Source organism: Homo sapiens, chromosome 20, assembly GCF_000001405.40.
Source record: "Homo sapiens chromosome 20, GRCh38.p14 Primary Assembly".
Taxonomy (NCBI): domain Eukaryota; kingdom Metazoa; phylum Chordata; class Mammalia; order Primates; family Hominidae; genus Homo; species Homo sapiens.
Window position 1 is genome coordinate 5989102 of NC_000020.11, and position 22039 is coordinate 6011140.

Here is a 22039-nt window from a genome sequence, read left to right on the forward strand (position 1 = left end):
ACTATCAATAGCGCAAGTCTTTTTTTTTTTTTTTTGAGACAGTCTGGCTCTGTCGCCCGGGCTGGAGTGCAGTGGTGTGATATTGGCTCACTGCAGCCTGCGCCCCCTGGGTTCAAGCAATTCTCCTGCCTGAGCCTCCCATGTAGCTGGGACTACAGGTGCATGCCACCACACCTGCTAATTTTTGTATTTTTAGTAGAGATGGGGTTTCACCATGTTGGCCAGGATGGTCTCAAAGTGCTGGCCTTAAGTGATCTGCCTGCCTTGTCCTCCCAAAGTGCTGGGATTACAGGCATGAGCCACCACGCCTGGCCTGATAGTGTAAGTTTTGTTGATACTCAGATGAGGCTGAGCAGATCCCCTTTTCTCTGAGTTATACCATAAACCAAAGGCCTCAAAAACTGGCAGATCTCACCCTAGATAAGAAGTTTCCAAAATCACCCTTTTCAAAGAATTTTTATGGTCTAGTCCTCAGTGCTCTCCATCTAAATTGTGCAGTATGTCTTAGCTGCAGATCCTTTTCTTCTTGTCTTTTCCTCATAGGGAGAGACTTTACCTAGTTGTCTCTTTGTCCCCAGCCTGGTACTGCCCCATCCCTGGAGGCTGCTGTCTTCTCTCTGCTGCCTCTAGAGGTATGCAGATGGGTAGAAGGGCACCCATGTCACCTCCTGAAGGTACAAGAATCTGCAGGTTGTTTCCTGCCCTTAGAGGGAGTCCATGGAAGAAGAGGAACCTTTCTCCTTAATTCAGTCTCAGAGTTTGTAAGCAACCGTGAGGTTCTACTGGCTGTCTTTGAAAGCTTTAAAGATTCTAGAATTGACAGCTCTTAATTTTTTATTGGTGGCACCAAAGTAACTGCCTCATAATAAGAAAAATTAATAATTATTGACTCCCAACCCTTTGAGCTAATTTCTAACAACTTACCTTCTGTGTCTAAGTATCCTATTGGTATGGCATCACACAGTGCTTTTTTTTTTTTCTCTTTTATTTAGACAGAGTCTCACTCTGTCATCCAGGCTGGAGAGTACAGTGGCGTGATCTCAGTTCACTGCAACCTCTGCCTCCTGGGTTCAAGCGATTCTCCTGCCTCAGCCTCCTGAATAGCTGGGATTACAGGCACCTGCCACCACGCCCAGCTAATTTTTTTGTATTTTTGGTAGAGACGGGGTTTTGCCAAGTTGGCCAGGCTAGTCTTGAACTCCTGACCTCAGGTGATCTGCCCACGTTGGCCTCCCAAAGTGCTGGGATTACAGGTGGGAGCCACCGCGCCTGACATCACACAGTCCTTGACCCATCAATTTTCTCTCTTTATGTGATTCAGTACTAGGGTTTGAGGGATCTTGTAGCTGAAAATTTTACCAACCTGGCTTTAGTCCCTCTCCAGTTGATCTCATTATGTTGGAGACCCTCTAGTTGCCATTTATAAGCAACCAGATAGTCTAGGAATTTACTAGACTTTCTCATACAACTTGCTGCTAGGGGCATGGTGTGCTAGCATATGAAGTAAAAGAATGGCCACAAAATCTAGTTGTCTGCCTGACTTCTTGTGGGTATGGCTTTCTAAGAGACCAGACTAGAGACTGACCTAGCAGAGATATTTTTTCCCATTAGGAAAGTAAGTCACAACCCAACCAAAATTTCAGAATTTTTTTTAATTTTAACTTTTTTTCCTATAAAAAAAACAAAGACCAAAAATAGGCACTTCTTATTTAATGATGAGAAGTTGCTTGTTGACTTACAGTCTAGAATGTGTGCATCTTGCTTTCTCTGCATCCTGCACTTGAACACTCCACCTTTGGGAGTGTGGCTGAGATTCCCACTCCTGATTTCTTTTTCCTTTTAATGATCTCTGGCCCTCTGGGTCTTCTGGTGCCTGGCTCTCCTGAATGTCATGTTTCTACTTTGTAGACTGTTCATCTGTCGAGCAAACTAAGGGGTACACTACCCTGCTCCTTTTCTCTCTTAACCTGTAACATTCTCCTCTTGAGGCTTTACCATTGCTCAATTTCTGCAGGCCTTAGACCATAGACGTCACCTCAACTGTTTACTGTTTCCCCACAGTAAATTCACTGGTCTGTGGACACGGTAGATTAGTTCTCCTATCTGAGCATCATGCTTAAGCAGAGTAAATTAGGCTATATTTACCTTTTCAGTAAAAATGCTATATTGCCCATTTATGGTTGGTTATACTTGGTATAAGATTTCTCTGCATGTCTGAATACTCATGTTGGACAGTGTTTGCATGTGCTTTCCTGTCCAAGAGGAACTCTTAAGTGTTGTCTCATGGAACTCTGTATTTGTACTGCTTCCCAGAGTTGCTTTGGTGGTAAATTTGAACAAGTTTCAGATCAGTTTACATCTGGGCCCCTGAAAAAAAGAGGTCTTATTATTAAGTGTAAACAGTACCCACATGACATTACCAGATTGTTTCCCTGAATTGTCTCAGTATGTTTACTGGCATTCATAAAAATTTTCAGGAAAAAGAAAATAGTTTGATTGGAATTACCTGACACTATGTTCATGGTAGAGATCAAGATCCAGTGAAACACAATGAAATTAGATTATGAATTATCTGTTTGTTATGCTCAACATGCATTCTTTCCTTAGTTTATGAGAGCAGGGACCTTATCTGACTCATTTACCAGTATATTCCCAGGGCCCAGAATCATGCCTGTCATAAAGTAGGCCTTCAGTAAATGTCCTGCACTGATAGTAAAGTTGACCTTAGTAATGATTCATTCATTCATTAAATCTTCCATTTCAGAGTTTTCATCTCTTCAGCTTCGTTCAGTCTTTGCCCTTAATGTGGTTTTAAACCTTTTAAGATTACATTTTAACTGGGAAGCTGACAGTTGAATAAGAAAATTCTTAAACTGTGACATAGCTTGTCTGAGTTACCAGAGCACTTAGCTGTATTTTAAAAAACTAAATGCTTATATTTAGTAGACAGTTCACATAAGCTTTCTCCTAAAATTGAAAACATACTAGGTAGCAGAAGAGAACAGAGCCACCTTCAAAGGTGAAAGATCATTGTTTTTTTCTATTTCAGGAAACTAGCTCAAATATTTTACATAGCTTTTTAAAATCTGAAGCAGTGTAGCAGATTCAAATCTGAGATATGCCACTTACTAGTTGTGTAACTTCTGGCAAGTCACTTTAATCTTAGCATAGGTTGGTGCAAAAGTAGTTGCAGTTTTTGCCATAAGAAAAGCAATTTCAAAAACCTCTATTACTCTTGCACCAACCTAATAAGAATGTTTTTTCATCCGTAAAATGGGAATAAGAATAGTTCCTAAATCACAGGATTGCTGGGAGGATTAAGTGGGATAGCCTATGTTAAACAAATATAATTAAGATAAATGTTACCTATTATTATTAACTGAAAGCATTTTTAACAACTTTCTCATGAGAAACAAGCATATGGGAGGTTCATCTTAAAAGAGATTATGCTGTATTTCAGAGGAAAACACTTACCATCTTACTGTTTTATCATTTTTAATAGTTTTATTTGAATGACTCATTCCTATTTGCATAACGTAGGCTTTTAACTATTCAAGGAACAAAAGGAAGCTTTATTGTTTATAACCCATTAAAATCATTCCTGCAGCTCATTAAGGGAAGGGATTATACCTGTTTTGTTCACCACTATAAGCCTGTTGCCCAGCAGGTGACCAGTATGTATTTGACTAATTAATTAATTCCTGATTAAATAACAGTTTTGCCAATTAGTCTGGCTGTGAAATATAGCTATCCCATTGTTGAGGCAGGGAATCAGCAATAGAGTTGGATTAAACAGGATGGTTAATTATGTTTCTAACTAGTGTTTTCAGACTTTAGCTAAAATTCACTATCAAGTACGTACTTCTTTCCTTGGTGATATTGTGAAAATTAGAGAAAGCAGAAGAAATCTGGCAGTAATAGGTGCATCCTTTAATATCTAACCAGTATCACTGCAACTCACCATAACCTTTCTAGTTCATTCCTAGAGTATTTTAAATACCTTTTATTTAAAATACTGGTGCGGCCAGATGCTGCTCCAGGAGATGGGACACATTTTTATTTAGTGAAGTCTAAATTTATTATATTTAGAATTTCTTTTCTTCATGAATCAAAAAGAATGTCCCAGGTATTTATATTGTAGTTTATCAATTTTGTGTTTTTATGCATTTCTCTCTCCAAATTTAGAAGTTTCTTAAAAGCAGTAACTGTGTCCAAAATATTTTTATTCCTTATCAATCCATCATAGTGAATTTCAGAGTGGCCCCTCAATAAACACATGTTGAAATGTTTGCTAAGTGAGCCTTGTGGCTACTTCCAAATTTTTCTTCTGTAACCTGAAAGCCCAGGACAACAATTTCTATGGCAGTGCTACATTGGGTAATTTTTTCTTCCTTTCTTTTTAAGCATGCTAGGAACTTACTCTGATGAATTTGGGAACCTAGATTTTGAGCGATCCCAGCATGGTTCTGGAATGAGCAACAGGTCAACAGCGAAAAGATTTATTTCTGCTCTCAACAACGTTGCTGAAAGAACTTATAATAATATATTTCAATTTCATCAACTTCGGCAGATTGCCAAAGAACTAAACATTCAGGTATGTTAAACTAGTTAATCTCTTTTGTAATAATTTCAGGAGGTCCTTGTTAATATATAGTAGAACAGAAACAGTTTTTACTTATTTAAAATTCATACCTGCTTCTTCTCAAAGGTTTTCAGCATCTTGATAGTCAGAGGGAAACATTGTAGTAAGACAGTCTCTATGTTTTTCTGACTGTCTCTTGTGGATATGTCATTTTAACATCTTTTAACGTTGCATCCCTCATCTGTTAAATGGACATGATTATACCAATTCCTACTTCAAAGTTCTCGTGAAAATCAATGTAATAGCACTTCAAACATGGGCTGTTACACATTATGGAAAATTAACTTCTTAATTTCAAAAGTTAGCTTGATTTTTTTCAGCTAACCTAAAACAAATGTAAAATATTCTCTGCATATTGGAATTTTTACTTTTTATTTATTTAGGCATTATAGAATCCAGAACTCAAATATAGGCAGTTTGCTCTGTAAGAAATAAAAATAATTTTATTTGGCCAAGAAACTTTACAGGTACATATTATTATTTGAGAGATTTATTTTAAAAGTAATATTTTGACATGTTACTTAATGGGCTAAACCTTTTGATGTTTTCTTCCAGGTTGCTGATTTTGAAAATTTTATTGGATCACTAAATGACCAGGGTTACCTCTTGAAAAAAGGCCCAAAAGTTTACCAGCTTCAAACTATGTAAAAGGACTTCACCAAGTTAGGGCCTCCTGGGTTTATTGCAGATTAAAGCCATCTCAGTGAAGATATGCGTGCACGCACAGACAGACAGACACACACACACACACACACACACACACACACACACACACACACAGTCAAATACTGTTCTCTGAAAAATGATGTCCCAAAAGTATTATAATAGGAAAAAAGCATTAAATATAATAAACTAATTTAAGAAGTGATAAAGTCTCCAGATGCAGTAGCTCACACTGTAATCACAGTGACTCAGGAGGCTGAGGTGAGAGGATTCCTTGAGGCCAGGGTTCGAGACCAACCTTGGGCAACATAGCAAGACCCCATTTCTTAAAAAAAAAAAAAAAAAATTTAAACTTAGCTGGGTATGGTGGCACATGCCTATAGTCTCAGCTACTTGTGAGGCTGAGGCAGGAGGATTCTTTGAGCCCAGGAGTTTGAGGTTACAGTGAGCCACAATCACACCAATCACTGCACTCCAGCCTGGGCAATAAAGTAACTCTTGACTCAAAAAAATAAAAAAAATTGTAGTGGTAGCCATGTGTTAATTGTTAAATAAATTCTCCAAAGGGCTAAAAGTAAATTACTTATAAATTTTTTATAGTTGTATTTTTGACCTGCCTTTTATATGTATGAATATTTCATAGTTTTGCATATCAGATGTAGGCATACAGACAAATACATAAACCAATGAATATATTACATATTCTGTGTTCCAATAAAACTTTATTTATGGACACTAAAATTTGAATTTCATAAAATTTTCCCATGTCAAGAATACAAAATACTTGAGTTTTGTTTTTAGCTATTTAATAATAGGTCTCATTTATTCCACAGGCTGTAGTTTGTAGTCTTGCTTGAAACAATAGAAACAGACTGATTAAGCAGGAGAAGTTTTTTGAAAGAATTTTGTTTGGCTCACGGAATTATTAGAAGGCAGGTGAACCAGGAGGGTAAGCTTCCAGCAGCAATTTGTAAAACCATGCCTTAGAATTGGACTAAGGAAGAAGCTGCTGACACTCCACTGCCACACAGGGCACTGGAAGAAAGTGCTGCTGCCTCCCTGCCCCACCTTTGCCACTTCTGCAGCAGGAATAGGTAGAAGAATGCCCCCACCCGCACCGGAACAGCAACAAAAGGATTCTGCATGAGATGCCTCCCTAAATTGCTGAATTCAAAAAAGAAGTTGCATACAAAGACATCTGATTGAAAAAGGGTATGTTATATGCCCCTTTCATAGGCTGCTAGGGAGTTTTCCTGGTTCTACTTTCAGGTGGTGGGATCAATAAGACCAGAATTTCTCATATGTTGTGAGAGGATTCAAATGTTACAGGGTTGCCAGCCAAACTATCAATCATGTATAAATCCAACAAACACTTTGTAACATACAAGAACTCAGGAAATGTGAACCATTGTTGGAGAATCTACTAAAATACGGCTTCCCGCAAACGAAGATGAATGGAAAATGTAAATAAAAAGAACTGGCAGTGTATATCAGATGTTTAACTATAGGACCAGAACTAAGATGTGGAGACTATTGCCATAGACCACAATGTAAATTTTTAAGTGAGGAAGGAAAAATCAGGAATCAAAAGGGGCCAGGTGCAGTGGCTCACATCTATAATCCCAGAGCTTTGGGAGTTCGAGGCAGGAGGATCACTTGAAGCCAGTTTTGAGACCAGCCTATGCAACACATTGAGACCCTATCTCTACAAAAAATAGATTAGCTGGGCACGGTGGTGCATGCCTATTGTCCTACCTACTGTGGAGGCTGAAGTAGGAAATCACTTGAGCCCGAGAGTTTGAGGTTACAGTGAGCTATGATTATACCACTGCACTCCAGCCTGGGCAAGAGAGCAAGACCTTGTCTCTTAAAGAAAAAAAAAAAAAATGGAGAAAGTAGATAGTAGTATAAATATAGTGAAGTCTTTAAAAGCTAGGAGTTAAAAGATATTTAAAGCAAATAACTCAGGCATGGTGGTGTGTGCCTGTAGTCCCAGCCACTAAGGAGGCTGAGGCAGGAGAATCACTTGAACCCGGGAGGCAGAGGTTGCAGTGAGCCAAGATCGTACCACTGCACTCCAGCCTGGGCAACAGAGTGAGACTCTTTCTCCAAACTAAATAAGAGATATTTAAAGCTGAAAAAAAATCTATTAATAGAATTTAAAACATTTCACAAAAGTCAACACATAAATAATATCAACCAAAATAAAGTGGTAGACAGAAGAGAAAATATACTAATTTATTGTTCAAAGAGGAAAATAAGTCTCAAAGGTTAAGGCTATTATATAAATTTATTTTTAAAAAGACATAAACCTACATTTTCAGAAGAAGAAGTTCCATGTTTCCTTAGATTATGTATTTAGCATCCATTAATCACAGGGCCAAACTAACAACAAAAGTTGTTTAGCTTTCCCTTACAATCCAGCTTTTATGGGTGTGCAAACATCACATTACAGTCCCTCCAACCACAAACCCCAACATATAGTATTTCACTTCCTGCCCAATAGTGGGTGTCCCCACACCTTTCAACCACTGTAGCAACAAAGCTCTGGCCTAGGCTTTTCACTTGCTTCTTTACTGCCTGACTGACTTTGGTGTTTCCTCATGTGGCCTGGTGTGGCATGGCACGCCCTCTTGGGAGATGAAAGTAATCTTCCATAGGCAATTGTTTCTGTGTCACCATTGCTGATTAAAACAAATCCTAAGTACAAATGTCAGAACAGAAACATGCAAAGCAAGAAAACATTACATCATGAAAGTTTCTTTTTTTTTCTTTTTTCTTTTTTTTTTTTTTTTGAGACAGAGTTTTGCTCTTTTTGCTCAGGCTGGAGTACAGTGGCGCGATCTTGGTTCACCGCAACCTCCGCCTCCTGGGTTCAAGCGTTTCTCCTGCCTCAGCCTCCCAAGTAGCTGGGATTATAGGCATGTGCCACCATGGCTAATTTTGTATTTTTAGTAGAGACGGGGTTTCTCCATGTTGGTGAGGCTGGTTTTTAACTCCCGAACTCAGGTGATTGCCTGCCTCGGTCTCCCAAAAAGTGCCGGGATTACAGGCGTGAGCCATTGTGCCCAGCCAAAAGTTTCTTTTTCAAGAGATGGTGGTCTTGCCATGTTGTCCAGTATGGACTTGAACTACTCAGCTCAAGCAGTCCTCCCACCTCAGCCTCCTGAATAGCTGAGACTACAGGCATGCACCACTACACCTGGCTGCGAGATGAAATTTTAAGAGATGGGGGTCTTGTTCTGTCGCCCAGGCTGGAGTGCAGTGACATGATCAAGCCGTGATCTCCTGGGCTCAAGCAATCCTCCTACCTCAGCCTCCTGAGTAGCTGGAACTACAGGAATGCAACACCATGCCCAGCTAATTTTGATTTTTAGTAGAGATGAGGTCTTCCTTTGTTGCCCAAGCTGGTCTCAAACTCCAGGGCTTCCTGAGTAGCTGAGACTACAGGTGTGAGCCACCATGCCCAGCCTCCTCTCTTTTCCAATATTGTGTTAAGTAAATTGTATTGGTGGTAATCAACTTGATCATTTCATTTTTAGGATAGAGATATCAAGGTGAGGGTATAACTGAACGAGAAGAGGAATAAACACCACCCTGTGATTGATGGATCTTTATAGCTCTCCTTTGATAAAGAAGGGAAATATCGTACTTACATTAGCATGTTATAGTTGCTGTTGTTATACAGAAGAATATTAAACAATATTCATATATTGTTTATGAATGCATTGAATTCATAAACAATGGTATGGATATTGACTAGCCAAAGAGGTGGATAAATGTAGATACAATGATACGGTGATTTGGTATTCAGTGTCCATTCTGCTCTCCTAGTGTGCCTTCCTATAATGCAGGGGCTGGAAGGTGAGAAAATAACCACATTTCCCAGACTCCCTTTGCAGGTAGATTTCCAGATGTGAATTGGGTTCCACTGATCAGACACCCATGTGTGAGATTTGGAATGCAGAACTGAGGAGAGAGCCATCTTCCTCTTGCTTGTGTTCTGGTGGCATGTGTGGTTGAGGAGACATTTAATTTCCCTGCAGCAGAATTCTTGCAGTCAGTTGTTGAGGCAAGTGGCGTGGTGGATGCAACCCTGATTCTTCACCTTTCTCATTATTGTGGGGTAGCAGCGCCTCTGGCAAGCCAGACAGACCTGCAGTGTTTTTCTGGGAGTTAATTCTGGAGACCCAGTATGGAACCCACTCCTAGCCCTTGTGACAATATTGCAAGCATCCAGTTCCCTGTTTTACAGTCCTTTTAAATGTGGCTAGCTACAGTAGTTTGTGTTTCCTGCAACTAATCACTCATACATCTGTATCTAAAGCACTCCACCTGGGTCATGTACTATACTTAAAATTATAAGGCAATATTAATTCACAAAACTACCTACTCGTTTTATTTAACCCTCAGAAGAACTGAAAACAAAAGCTATACCAGGCTTGCTCTAGAGCGTGGGCTTGGGAATGGAAAGGCAGAGTGCACCTATTGAATTCCATCATCAGTTTTTCTATACCATGGAGTTACTTACCATGTGTATACATAACACTGATTAAAAATTTTAAAAAAAAGGTTAAAACAAAAACTGAGCCAGATTCTGACATTTAAATCAGAATTATTCTTAGTACATAGACTTGCAAAGTCACTGAATAATTCCTTGGGACTACAGACTCTTAGTCTTTGCTTCTAGAAATGTATAGTAATTTCAACATGTCATATATATAGAGAGAGTATATATGTGTATATATATACACACACACACACACTATATAGAGTATATATATACACTCCATATACAGTATATATACTAGTGTGTATATATATATACACTAGAGTATACACACTCTAGAGTATACACTCTATAAAGTATATATATTATATATACTATATATTATATATACTATATACTCTACAGTATATATATACACTATAGAGTGTATATATATACTATACAGATATGTATAGAGTATATATACTCTATATATACACTATATATAGTCTATATACTCTAGAGAGTACAGTATATATATATAGTGTATATATACTCTATGGAGTGTATATATATTCTCTTTCTCTCCATATATATATATATAGTAATCAGCTTCCTCAGGTTGAAACATCTAGATATATTGAAAACACTGGATAGTCTGCAAACTCCTCTTCCTTAGAGAATGTATATTATCTTTAGTATTAAAGTGACTCTTGTAAGTCCTGAGAAACACCTCGGAACACTGCATTCACGTGTTTGCTAGGCAGAATAGTACCCACCCTGCAAGACATCACATCCTAATGCCCAGAACCTGTGAATGTGTTAGGTTACATAGCAAGGGGAAATTAAGATGGCTAATCAGGTGACCTTAAAATAGGGAGATCATCTTGGATTATCTGCATGGGTCCAATATAATTAGAAAGAACCTTTAAAGTGGAAGAGGGAGGCAGAAGAGAGCCAGAGGAAGATGTGACTACAGAAGAAGGCACGGATGCAGCATTGCTGGCTTTGCAGATGAGGGAAGGAGGCCTTCAGCCAAGGACTGTGGGTGGCTCTAGAATCTTTTTTTACATCTCAGTATGTATGCCACAGTTAAGGTTTTTGTTTTTTTATTTTTGAGATGGAGTTTCGCTCTGTCATCCATGCTGGAGTGCAATGGTGAGATCTCGACTCACTGCAACTTCCGCCGCCGGGGTTCAAGCAATTCTCCTGTCTCAGCCTGAGTAACTGAGATTACAGGTGCGTGCCATCATGCCCGGCTAATTTTTGTATTTTTAGTAGAGACGAGGTTTCACCATATTGATCAGGCTGGTCTCGAACTCCTGACCTCAGGTGATCCGCCCACCTCGGCCTCCCAAAGTGCTAGGATTACAGGTGTGAGCCACTGTGCCCAGCCTCACAGTTAAGGTTTTTAAACAATCTGATTTAACTGAATAAAAAATGCTCGCTTGTGTGGCGACATGGTTTTTAAAAATGTAAACAGAGCTGGGCATGGTGGCTCACATCTGTAATCTCAGCACTTTGGGAGGCCAAGGCAAGAGAACTGTTGAAGGTCAGGAGTTGGAGACCAACCAGCCCAGGGAATATATAGGGAGACCCTATCTCTTAAAAAAAAAAAAAATTACCTGGGCATGGTGGCATATGCCTGTGGTTCCAGCTACTCAGGAGGCTGAGGCAGTAGGATTGCTTGAGCCCAGGAGTTTGAGGCTGCACTGAGCCGTGATCACACCACTGCATTCCAGACTAGGTACAGAGCGAGTCTATGTGGAGTGCAATGTCTCTAAAAAAAAAAAAATACCCAAAATATAAACAGGGACTATGAGGTATGTACAGGAAATTAATAGCTGAAGAATATTTTACCATGTTCAAAAACTAAATTCTTCATGTGGCTGAGAGAAGAAAGAAAAAAATGGTATGTTTGTGTTCCATTTGCAGGTATTACATAAACCCATTTTAAATGAACTAAAATGCCTAGGATTTGGGGGGGAAAAATTATCTTGTGCTCGCATTTGAAGGTTCTTCTCAGAAATAAACTGTTTAAAGAGACCACAGTACTGGTTTAATTTTTTTTCTGCAGGACCAGAGGGAAACAGGTGGTTTACCATTTTTGGAAACTCTGTCACATGATCTGAATAGAAAGGATAGTTGGATGTAACGTTAAAGCTTTCTGAACCAGCAATCCCCAACCTTTTTGGCAACAGGGACTGGTTTCAAGGAAGACAGTTTTCCACGGACCTGGATGGGGGAATGTTTCGGGATGAAACTTCCACCTCAAGTCATCATTAGTTAGATTCTCATAAGGAACGCACAACTTAGATTCTTCGCATGTGCAGTTCACAGTAGGGTTCACCCTCCCATGAGAATCGAATGCGCTGCTGACCTGGCAGGAAGCAGAGCTCAGGTGGTGATGCTCGCTTGCCTGCCGCTCGCCTCCTGCTGTGTGGCCTGGTTCCTAACAGGCCATGGATTGGTACTGGTCCACAGCCCAGGGGTTGGGGACCCCTGTAACAAAAGGAAAACAAGATTCTTAAATCTTTACAGGAAGGAGGAATGGAATGGAAAATAAAGCTAGTTGTACACTAAATGATGTTAACAATCCCTTTATCACCTTTAAAATATGAGCAGAGAGGAAAGAAATATTAAAACCAACCCTTTTTACTTTCTTATTTGTAGATAATGCCTGCCTTACGAGAATGTTATTTCTTTTAAAGGTTCCAAAACAACCATATAAAAACTTAGTAATGACTTAATTGTTCACATATTCTAGTGACATCAGTACATTTTCAGGAAGAAATGTGGAAAGGTTGGCACTAGAAGTTGACATAAGAATTAGTTTAGCCAGGTGCAGTGGCACATGCCTGTAGTCCCAGCTACACAGGAGGCTGAGGCAGGAGGATTGCTTGAAGCCAGGAATTCTGGGCTATTATAGTGTGCTATGCTGACTGGGTGTCCACACTAAGTTCGGCATCAACATGTTGATCTGGGAGTGGTGGACCACCAGGTTTCCTAAGGAGGGATGAACCTGCCCAGGCCAGAAATGGAGCAGGTCAAAATTCCCGTCCTGGTCAGTAGTGGGATCGCCCCGTGAAAAGCCACGGCATTCTAGCCTGGGCAACATAGTAAGACCCTGTCTCTTACATAAAAAATAAAATAACAAAAATGAAAAGGAGAATTAGTTTAGATCTCTTGATAATTTAAACAGTAATCTAAATTATAGAGTTTAGGTGGAGTTAATCTCTGCAAGTCCTGAGGAGCTATGCCCAAGGTGCTTGGCCCTACCAGCAATGCACTCTTTTGCTTACATGTGTTTCAAATCTTAAATCCCATCATTTAGTTTTTTCCTATTTAGGCTGTGGGACGGTGCGTTTATTACAATGATTGAAACCTGTGCCTTATTTGGATTACTGGTTATTCAAAACACATCTTTGGGTTTAGTGCCTGGTAATTACAGCTTACTCCTGTAAGATTTAACTGTCATTGATTCCTAGAGAATTTTTTTTGAGACAAGGCCTCGGTGGGTCACCCAGGCTGGATGGAGTGCAGGGGCACAATCTCGGCTCACTGCAACTTCTGCCTCCCTGGGCTCAAGCGATCTTCCCACTTCAGCCTCCTGAGTAGCTGGTACCACAGGCACCCACCATCATGCCCAGGTTTATTTTTGTATTTTTGGTAGAGATGGCGGGCGGGGGGAGCCGGGGGGTACGGTGTGCGGGGCAGGGGGGTGGGGGGGTGGTCCTCACAGTGCCCAGGCTGGTTTCGAACTCCTGAGTTCAAGCAGTCCACCCACCTCGGCCTCCCAAAGTGCTGGGATTACAGGTATCAGCCACCATATCCAGCTGTTTTAATTTGATTTAACTTCCAATCAATATTTACATAAGACTCATTTGCAAAACTGCCTTCTTTACATTATCTTCTTCTGGTTTTAGGAAACAAAAAGTAGCCCAAGTTTATTGTGTCCTAGACTAAATAACACAAGTAACACTACATTACACTGCATATCTGATATAAGAACGCAGTACACATATTTCTAGACTTTGTTCATTTATCCCCAGGCAGAAAATATTCATAATAGATTTGGAATAAGATTTTCTTCTCAAAAAGCTTAAACTTCAAATAGAAGTGATAAGTGAGAAAGAATGATTGGGTTGCAGAATTTTCAAAAGCCTAAAAACAGCCTGGGCATGGTGGCTCACACCTGTAATCCCAGCACTTTGGGAGGCCGAGGTGGGCAGATTACTTGAGGTTGGGAGTTCCAGACCAGCCTGACCAACATGGTGAAATCCTGTCTCTACTAAAAACATAGGAGTTAGCAGGGCGTGGTGGCATGCGCTTGTAATCCCAGCTGCTTGGGAGGCTGAGGCAGGAGAATCGCTTGAACCTGGGAGGCGGAAGTTGCAATGAGCCGAGATAGCGCCATTGCACTCTAGCCTGGGCAAGAACAGGGCGAGGATTCATCTCAAAACAAAACAAAACAAAACAAAAAAACAAAAACAGAAAGCCTAAAAACAGGTTCCAAGAAGTTGTAGCAAAGAGGTAATTTGTTCCAATATACAGCACAGTCATACACAGCACTTTGCAACTTAACCAAGGAAAACATTAAAAGTGGCAAGACAATACTACCCTCTAGGGGCCAAATTTTTATGTTCACAACTCAGCAAAGGATCAATGAAAGGATGAACTAAACAGTTAATAACAGGCCAGTTATTCAAGATTGAACAATCCTTTCTCTTTTCACGTTCTCTTGGGGTAAGCACTACATGATTGACTACAGAAGTTGGGATAAGACACCTGACCAGTACATTTTGGTTACTTATGAAAATAATTCTGATACAAGGGTGGAGAGAGAAAAATTTGAAATGAACTTCATGAAACGTAGAATTTATATATAGATTTTTATTTATATTTTTATTACAGACTTACTATTCTAATTTTTTCCCCATTTGGGAAAAAAGTTCAGTGACAGATATTCCCAGTCCCTTCAGACATATGAGGTGCCTGTGTGTTTAATCTACTTGGATAGAAATTATTACAGAATTCATAAAACAGGAAATGAACATTATAAACCAGTTACTAACTGTAGAATATTTTGGTTTCCTCTGCCCCCTGCCCTGCTCTAAACTCTACTTCACTGGGTTTCTGCATTTTCTCCATCCTTTATCCCAGATTAACCTGTTCATTTATTGACTTCTGTCAAGTTCTAGAAAATGAGATCAAAGACTGATAGCTGGATGTTCTCCCGTCTTAAAATGTTAGGGAAACAGTTTGTTAAAAGCATGTTACTCTTTAGTCATAAGTATTGAGCAGTCATTGTCTTTCAGGCCAAAATGCCAGCCACTTTATTTTCCTACTTTTTAAAGACAATTAGCCATCAGCAGTTTGTAGTAGAGCTGGCTTTTTAAATACAAAACAGTTTATTATATTTTAATTGGCGGACTCTATTGTATCTTGGAGTTTTTTTCTCTAATTTTATATTGAAGTGAAAAATAGGAAGAACATAAAATTTGCTACATAGATAATTTTGGGGATGTTCTATTTTAAACATTGATAACAGTATAATTCCATATTTTGAAATATACAAAAAATATATACAACTAAAATGGTATCTAAAACAGAAACCTATGAATGCTAGCTCCAAACAATAAGGCAAATAAGTGAAGAGCTCAGGTAATGGTGTTATTCTTGAGGGCACAAAGCCTGGATAAAACTAGATTACCATAAATAGTAGTACGGAAGTTGAAGAAATCAACACAGTAACTAGAATTAATTTAGAAAAAATTAATAAAAGGTTGGACAAATACCATAAGTAATAGAAATAAAACCTATCAGAGCAACAAAGGGAAAAAACACAAAAACAAGTTTGTGTCCTCAGTGCCAAGGATTAGAGGCAGATGAAGTACAGGCTGAATATAGGGAATAGAAAGAAGTCCCAAGACACAATGAGTGTCTTAGGAAGCGGAGAGTGAATAAAGGCAATCTCATGAAAGGAAGGGAGAGACTGGAATCCTGCCCACTCCCTCTTGCCAGGGTTATCCAGAATTAATGTTTACCTATGAGAACTGTGTTTTTAAATAGTTTTTAAATTTTTTAAAATTTTTACATTGCTGTTGCAGAAGTTTCCATTTTTCTCTCAATGTCAGGATTTCAATGTAAGAAATAGATTTTTTTTGGATAAATACCCGCTGCTTCATCTACAATGTTGCTCACTTTCAGTTGGCCTTTCCCTTTCCTAACTACCCGAATTAAGACTTTAAACTCAACTGTAAGGTAGTTCAGCCATCATAGATGGGGTTAGTGGGGCGATAGTGGAGAGGCGGCAATAATCATTCAAATTCAGTTCAACACTGAATTCAACAAGAAAAAATTCTGTAACATTGCAAATATTGATGTATCAATATGTTTAGTATACTAATCTGAATATATTAATCAGCTAATTAATGGTGAGCTGATTCATAACTGTCTCGGATATTATAGGCAAGTTTCTTAACCTCTCTAAACCTAAGTTTCCTTATCTGTAAAAGTAATAATGGAACCCTCATCTTGCAGTCGTTGGGAGGATTAAACGGGATGATGCACTATAGCCTGGTTATATAGTATAATTGAAACTTTTGTACTAGCAATGTAAAAATTTAAAATAAAAACTATTTAAAAAGACAATTCTCATAGGTAAACATTGATTCTGGATAATATAGTATTACTGTTTTCAGCAAAACAATCAGCCATTGCTATTACTAACATTTACTAATGCTTATATTTTTAGCATATGCATCTTTATTCAATGCTCAAAGAGGAGAGAATTACAGAGCCAATATTTATTAATCATTTCTTCTGCACTAGATACTGTAAACCACCCACAAGAACCGTAGGGCGCCGCACGCACCTTGGAGGGGGCCCTTCTGCCGGCCACCCGCCTCAGAGGGTTTCAGGCCAGGGCCTGAGGTGGCTCCGGCCCCCTCGCGGCTACGTCGGCTGCGCGGTCATCCTATCTTGTTCGTTTCTCCCCTTTCCCCGCCCACCCCCGGGCCTTGGCTCCCGGCTGCGGGCCAGGAGAAGAGAGCGCCGCGTACCCGCTGCTTCCCAAAACCCACTGAGCCTGATGCGCGCGCCTCCGCTGTGCCAGGGGCGCCGGGAAGCCCGACGACGACGGTGTCGTAAAAGCGTCGCGAAGGCGTCCGCCCTTGGCGGCTTCCTGCCACCTGTATAAGTGGAGTGTGCTGGGGTGTGTAAAGTAGTATGGAGGCAGCGGTAGCCCAGTGTCTGAGTGGTTGCCGGGTCTCCATGGAGAAGCGGCTCGCCAGTGTCCCAGGCTGCTGAGCTCTCGCCGCCCGAGACCCCGCGGCGCGGCCGCAGGGCCATGCTAGCCTTGCGCGTGGCGCGCGGCTCGTGGGGGGCCCTGCGCGGCGCCGCTTGGGCTCCGGGAACGCGGCCGAGTAAGCGACGCGCCTGCTGGGCCCTGCTGCCGCCCGTGCCCTGCTGCTTGGGCTGCCTGGCCGAACGCTGGAGGCTGCGTCCGGCCGCTCTTGGCTTGCGGCTGCCCGGGATCGGCCAGCGGAACCACTGTTCGGGCGCGGGGAAGGCGGCTCCCAGGCCAGCGGCCGGAGCGGGCGCCGCTGCCGAAGCCCCGGGCGGCCAGTGGGGCCCGGCGAGCACCCCCAGCCTGGTACGTACCGATGAGGCGGCGGCGGGCCGGCCCTGGGCTGGGGTCGCCGCCCCTGCACTCAGGTAACAAGCTCTGGGTGGTGCAGCTCGGACGCTTCCGTTTCCTAACTTTTAGACTCTTCCCTGAAAAGAAGTTACTGGCAGGTCATTCGGTCGGGATGAATTTCAGGGTCACCAGCGGGGTCCACCTACGGTCTCTGTGGTCAAGTTAGAAATCCTCTCATCCCCCTTCTATCTGCACCCGTTGCTGGAAGGGCCGCCTCTGCATATTGCATTGATAAAGGTAGCCTTCGCTTGTCTTACTAAAAGCCTATTTTTAATTCTTTTGAAGTGAATCCCCAGTGTTTAGGGCAAGTCTTTGGGAATATTTAGAAAGGTATACAGGCCCTTCTGTTTGCTTGTGCAAGTTCCGTTCACCATCATTTGACCTTTGGTAACCTTACACATTATAGGATGAAGGTAATTAAATAATTTAGGTCGTAATTAAAAGATCTTTTAACCTTTAATTATAGAAAAAGATTTAAACTATTCTTGAGGTAACGGAGGGAAGTATTTGTCCACTTACCTGTTGATATGCTACCCAGACAGAAGACACCCGAGCATGAGTGTGGGAGAGCTTTTGATGTCATGTTAGCAAGACTCATGCAATTATTACATCTTCAATTGTTATGTCTTCAGTGGCCCCTGTACTGCTTTCATCAGTTGTACAGCATGGGTTGAGGTGGCCAGATCCTGGCAGGGGTCTCAACTCCACTGATAGCTAAAGCATGTTGGGGTTTGAATGCTGGATACTTTGAAGTTGCCATATCCTGACTGAAGTCCTTCCCAGAACGGCAGTAGTTGGTCGAGTATGCCACAGGTTATCTGGTTGAGTAATCTGAGATTAGCTCTCCTAACATTAACTTTGAAACTTTTACGGATTTAATGATTACAAATTAATGAGACACCTTAACTGAAATATTCTATGTGGAGCTAAAAAGAACTCCCTTCACTGTTCCAGCAACATTGAGTTCTGTTTGTTAATTCGCCAAATGAAATGATGTTTCTGTTTACAACTTTGTCTTTAATTTTGCCCTGTGGATAATTTCTGAAGTTAATTTGGGGACCTTTTTTCTGATCTTTTGCTTACTGCTTTTTTGCAACCGTGTGCAGCCTTCTCCCCTCCCACTCTTCCCTTTGAGTTGCTGTAACCTTTGATCAGTATTTGACTTATTCTCTACCATAGTATGGTCAACAGACTTATCTTTTTTCTTTGGACTCTGAAACACTCTGATATTTGAACTTGAATTTGGGATGTATTCCAAGAATGTTTTCATTGTATAATGTGGATTACTTTCAGTAAAAGATCTCAGAGTAGAGGTTTGTATTGCTTCTTGTTTTGTGATTGCTCTTCGGATAATTTGAAGTTTTTCTATAGCTTTCAATGACAGTATTCTGCCACCTGACCCCAGCAATAACTATTTAATTATCCCTCCAAGCTGAGGTGCTTTCTTGCTGGGTTTCTTTTATAAACACAGACATAGTGTCTTTAGAGAATACTTTTTTTTTTTTTTTTTTACAGGATAGTTCATAGAATTTTAAAAGAATCTTCAGAAATGGAATTTTAAAAGAATCTTCAGAAATGGCCTTTGCCACCTTTTTTACAACCAAAATTAAGATTCAGGCAAGTTGGCTAGTACTGATTAAGAAAGAGGTTAAAAGGGGTTCTAGAGAAGAGAAAGTCCCATGGAGTGGAATTGGCAGTCTTGACACAGCGGAGAAAAAAAATCTAGGCTTCAGGGAAAGGCGTTTTCTTGTTGTTATTTCTGTACCCTGTTGTGCAAGGTGTCTTAGCTCCGCTGGGCCGAGGCTTTTCAAAGCTGAAATATCCTCTCATGAGTCAGATTCTGTTTGGCAAGAAGGGGATGTTCTTCAGACAGCTGCCAAAGAGCTCTTTTGTTAGTGCCAACTTCAAACAGCTTGGCTCCAAATGAGTTGTCTAGGAATTGCAAAGCCCCCAGATGGGAGCTGTGAAAGTCCTTGGTTTTTAGTTGAGGATCTTAACATTTCCATGACTGTTTTGAACAAATTTACACAATTTCTCGATTTCCAAATATCACAATCCCTATTCCTATCTCCATTTTCTTCTAGCAGTTCTCTGACTTAGTGATGAGGTTATAGAATTAAATCTGTTTTTGTTCTCTTCATTCAAACCTCCATACACTCTATATAGCATTTAGCATTCTTTAGATATGTGTAAGGGAGTGAGGGAGATTCTTTGCAGTATTTAAAGCTGAATGCCTGGAGTTGATAATTTGGCCTTTTTTCCTGACACTTTTACTTGTAAGTAGACACTGTTTGTCTATTTACAAGATCTTCCTGAAGTTTCACCTTTAAAAGCAGAGTGTTGAAAGTTCTGAGTTCTTACAATGAAGTTATATATTAAAGGCTTAGCTTATATGGCAGATAATACATGTGTTCTGTCTTCCCTCTCTTAAGAAAACCTATAATAGGCCGGGCATGCTGGCTCACGCCTGTAATCCCAGCACTTTGGGAGGCCGAGGCAGGTGGATCACGAGGTCAGGAGTTTGAGACCAGCCTGGCCAACACAGTGAAACCCCATCTCTACTAAAAATACAAAAATTAGCTGGGCATGGTGGCGGGCACCTGTAATCCCAGCTACTTGGGAGGCTGAGGCAGAAGAATCACTTGAACCCGGGAGGTGGAGGTTGCAGTGAGCCGAGATTGTGCCACTGCACTCCAGCCTGGGCAACAGAACTAGACTCCATCTCAAAAAAAAAAAAAAAAAAAGAGAAAAGGAAACCTATAATATGTAAGACACCTTACCCTGTGTTTCGGTACATGATACATCTTCATCTTTTGTATTCTTTTTTTTTCTTTTTTTAATTAAAAAAAATTGAGATGGGATTCTCTCCATGTTTCCCAGGCTGGTCTCTAATTCCTGGGCTTAAGGGATCCTCCCGCCTCAGCCTCCTGAAGTGCAGGGATTATAGGCGTGAGCCATCATGCCCAGCCATCTTCTGTATTCTTGAAAGAAGATTTTAGGGAGATATCTGTAAAAAGAACAGAATGGATTTTAAAATTCAATTTAATGTACTAAATTTAAAGTTTATGTAGCTTCTGACTGAAGTTGATGAAGTATATTTTTCTAATGTATGTATATAGTTATTCAAAGTATGAATTCATAGTATTTTACTTAAATTTTGTTGTCTTTGTGTTTCAGTATGAAAACCCATGGACAATCCCGAATATGTTGTCAATGACGAGAATTGGCTTGGCCCCAGTTCTGGGCTATTTGATTATTGAAGAAGATTTTAATATTGCACTAGGAGTTTTTGCTTTAGCTGGACTAACAGATTTGGTAAGTTGTAAATGCACTCCCAGTTTGCTCTCCTTCCAAATCCTGGTCTGTACTACTAAACCGAAATAGCATAGCCTTAGCCTGCTTTTCCTTGGGAGGAAAACCTCAAGATGAATTTGACGTGGTACTTTTTGTGAGGACTTTGTCTTTAGCATCTATATGGGATTTTTTTTTTTTTTTTTCATATGATTTCAAGGAGGAAGCGAAAGTTGTAGGGAAGTAAAGGAGGGGATACTTTGTACTCTTGGTTTTTAAGAGTGAAAGAAACACCCTTAGAAATTTCCAAAGAGCTGAGTGCTTGCTTTAGGGATAGAAATAAAGGAGAGGAGATCTGAGATGACTTTTCTATGTATTGTGGTAAAGAGGAATACTCAGATCTGCAAAAAAAAGTTGGTTTTCCTAGTGGAGAGGGAAACTGGACCAGTTGTTATGACCCAGGGAACTGGGATATGACCAGAAGCATGTAGAAGTCATAGCTTTGCTCAGGTTTCATGCTAGCAGAAGGCTGTAGGTACCCCCACAGATTTATTTTCTGATCTCTGCTCTACACCCCTCTGACTGCCCTGCAGAATACTCTGCTCTGGGCTGACAATTGGACGTCCTTCCTTCATTCTCCTCCCTCAGCAGATGGACAAAGAAGAGGAGCTCTCCTTGATACTACATTGTTAGTTTTGATAGAGGAGAGGAGGATTTATTCAGATGATCTCAAATTAGAACTGGAAAATAATTTTATAACAGAAGGCTACATTAAATAGGCTTTTGTGGACTGGCTAGCCATCATCATGTATGACATTATTTGTATTACCAACTTTATTTCAAAAAAGTTTCGAAATGCATTATAAAACTGGCTGGACACAGTGGCTTACACTTGTAATTCCAGTGCTTTGAGAGGTCAGGAGTTTGAGATCAACCTGCACAACATAGCAAGAGCCTATCTCTACAAAAAATTTAAAAATTAGCTGGGCATGGTGGCATACGCCTGCAGTCCTAGGTACTCAGGAGGCTGAGGCAGGAGGATTGCTTGAGCTCAGGAGTTCAAGGCTGCAGTGAGCTATGATCGCACCACTGTACTCTAGCCTGGGTGACAGAGCAAGAACTTGTCTCTTAAAAAAAAAAAAAGGAAAAACTTCATGCTGTATAAAAACATAGTTGAGGGAAGTGTGGAAAAGATGGAGGAATAATTTTAAACCAGGGCAGAGTTAGCAGGAGAAATAGATACATTATATTC

The 22039-nt window shown here is 40.5% G+C and overlaps 2 protein-coding genes, 1 long non-coding RNA gene and 1 pseudogene across 21 annotated transcripts in view, besides 5 other annotated features; 3 read left to right on the forward strand and 1 right to left on the reverse strand.

Moving 5' to 3' along the window:
* The window catches only part of MCM8 (minichromosome maintenance 8 homologous recombination repair factor), a 48326-nt gene extending 38450 nt beyond the window's left edge, over positions 1 to 9876 (forward strand). For all 7 annotated transcript variants that reach the window (NM_001281520.2, XM_047440552.1, XM_017028105.2 and 4 more), the window contains 2 exons: positions 4405 to 4594; positions 5198 to 9876. In NM_001281520.2, coding sequence (NP_001268449.1) covers positions 4405 to 4594; positions 5198 to 5290 — 283 coding nt within the window. In that variant the 3' untranslated portion in view covers positions 5291 to 9876. The remainder of the gene's footprint in view (positions 1 to 4404; positions 4595 to 5197) is intronic.
* On the reverse strand, positions 1694 to 16720 carry MCM8-AS1 (MCM8 antisense RNA 1). Its single transcript, NR_110101.1, has 5 exons — positions 16672 to 16720; positions 12175 to 12296; positions 11420 to 11574; positions 4693 to 4823; positions 1694 to 2367 (listed from the first exon to the last, which is right to left on the reverse strand). It is a non-coding gene; the product is annotated as an MCM8 antisense RNA 1 (long non-coding RNA).
* On the forward strand, positions 12632 to 12929 carry RN7SL498P (RNA, 7SL, cytoplasmic 498, pseudogene; annotated as a pseudogene).
* Positions 16764 to 17265: an enhancer, noted in NCBI's record as "H3K27ac hESC enhancer chr20:5986511-5987012 (GRCh37/hg19 assembly coordinates)". NCBI's record gives its function as "activates a minimal SCP1, AML or CMV promoter by ChIP-STARR-seq in naive H9 embryonic stem cells {active_cell/tissue: H9 hESC(naive)}" and the evidence as "EXISTENCE:reporter gene assay evidence [ECO:0000049][PMID:30033119]".
* Positions 16764 to 17485: a biological region, named in NCBI's record as "H3K27ac hESC enhancer GRCh37_chr20:5986511-5987012".
* CRLS1 (cardiolipin synthase 1) overlaps positions 16837 to 22039 on the forward strand; it is a 34116-nt gene continuing 28913 nt past the window's right edge. For 7 of the 13 annotated variants that reach the window (NR_136617.2, XR_007067457.1, XR_007067458.1 and 4 more), the window contains exons 1-2: positions 17022 to 17451; positions 20674 to 20811. Coding sequence is in view for 10 of the 13 variants with exons in the window: in NM_019095.6 (NP_061968.1) it covers positions 17146 to 17451; positions 20674 to 20811 (444 nt within the window). In the remaining 3 variants the exon portion in view is untranslated. The other 6 variants (NM_001323562.2, NM_001323563.2, NM_001323564.2 and 3 more) reach the window with 6 other exon arrangements.
* Positions 16916 to 17005: an enhancer, noted in NCBI's record as "active region_17534". NCBI's record gives its function as "activates an Ori minimal core promoter by ATAC-STARR-seq in GM12878 lymphoblastoid cells {active_cell/tissue: GM12878}" and the evidence as "EXISTENCE:reporter gene assay evidence [ECO:0000049][PMID:35858748]".
* Positions 17096 to 17485: a silencer, noted in NCBI's record as "silent region_12661". NCBI's record gives its function as "represses an Ori minimal core promoter by ATAC-STARR-seq in GM12878 lymphoblastoid cells {active_cell/tissue: GM12878}" and the evidence as "EXISTENCE:reporter gene assay evidence [ECO:0000049][PMID:35858748]".
* Positions 19222 to 19516: a silencer, noted in NCBI's record as "tiled region #14083; HepG2 Repressive DNase unmatched - State 5:Enh". NCBI's record gives its function as "represses a minimal TATA promoter and a strong SV40 promoter by Sharpr-MPRA in HepG2 cells {active_cell/tissue: HepG2}" and the evidence as "EXISTENCE:reporter gene assay evidence [ECO:0000049][PMID:27701403]".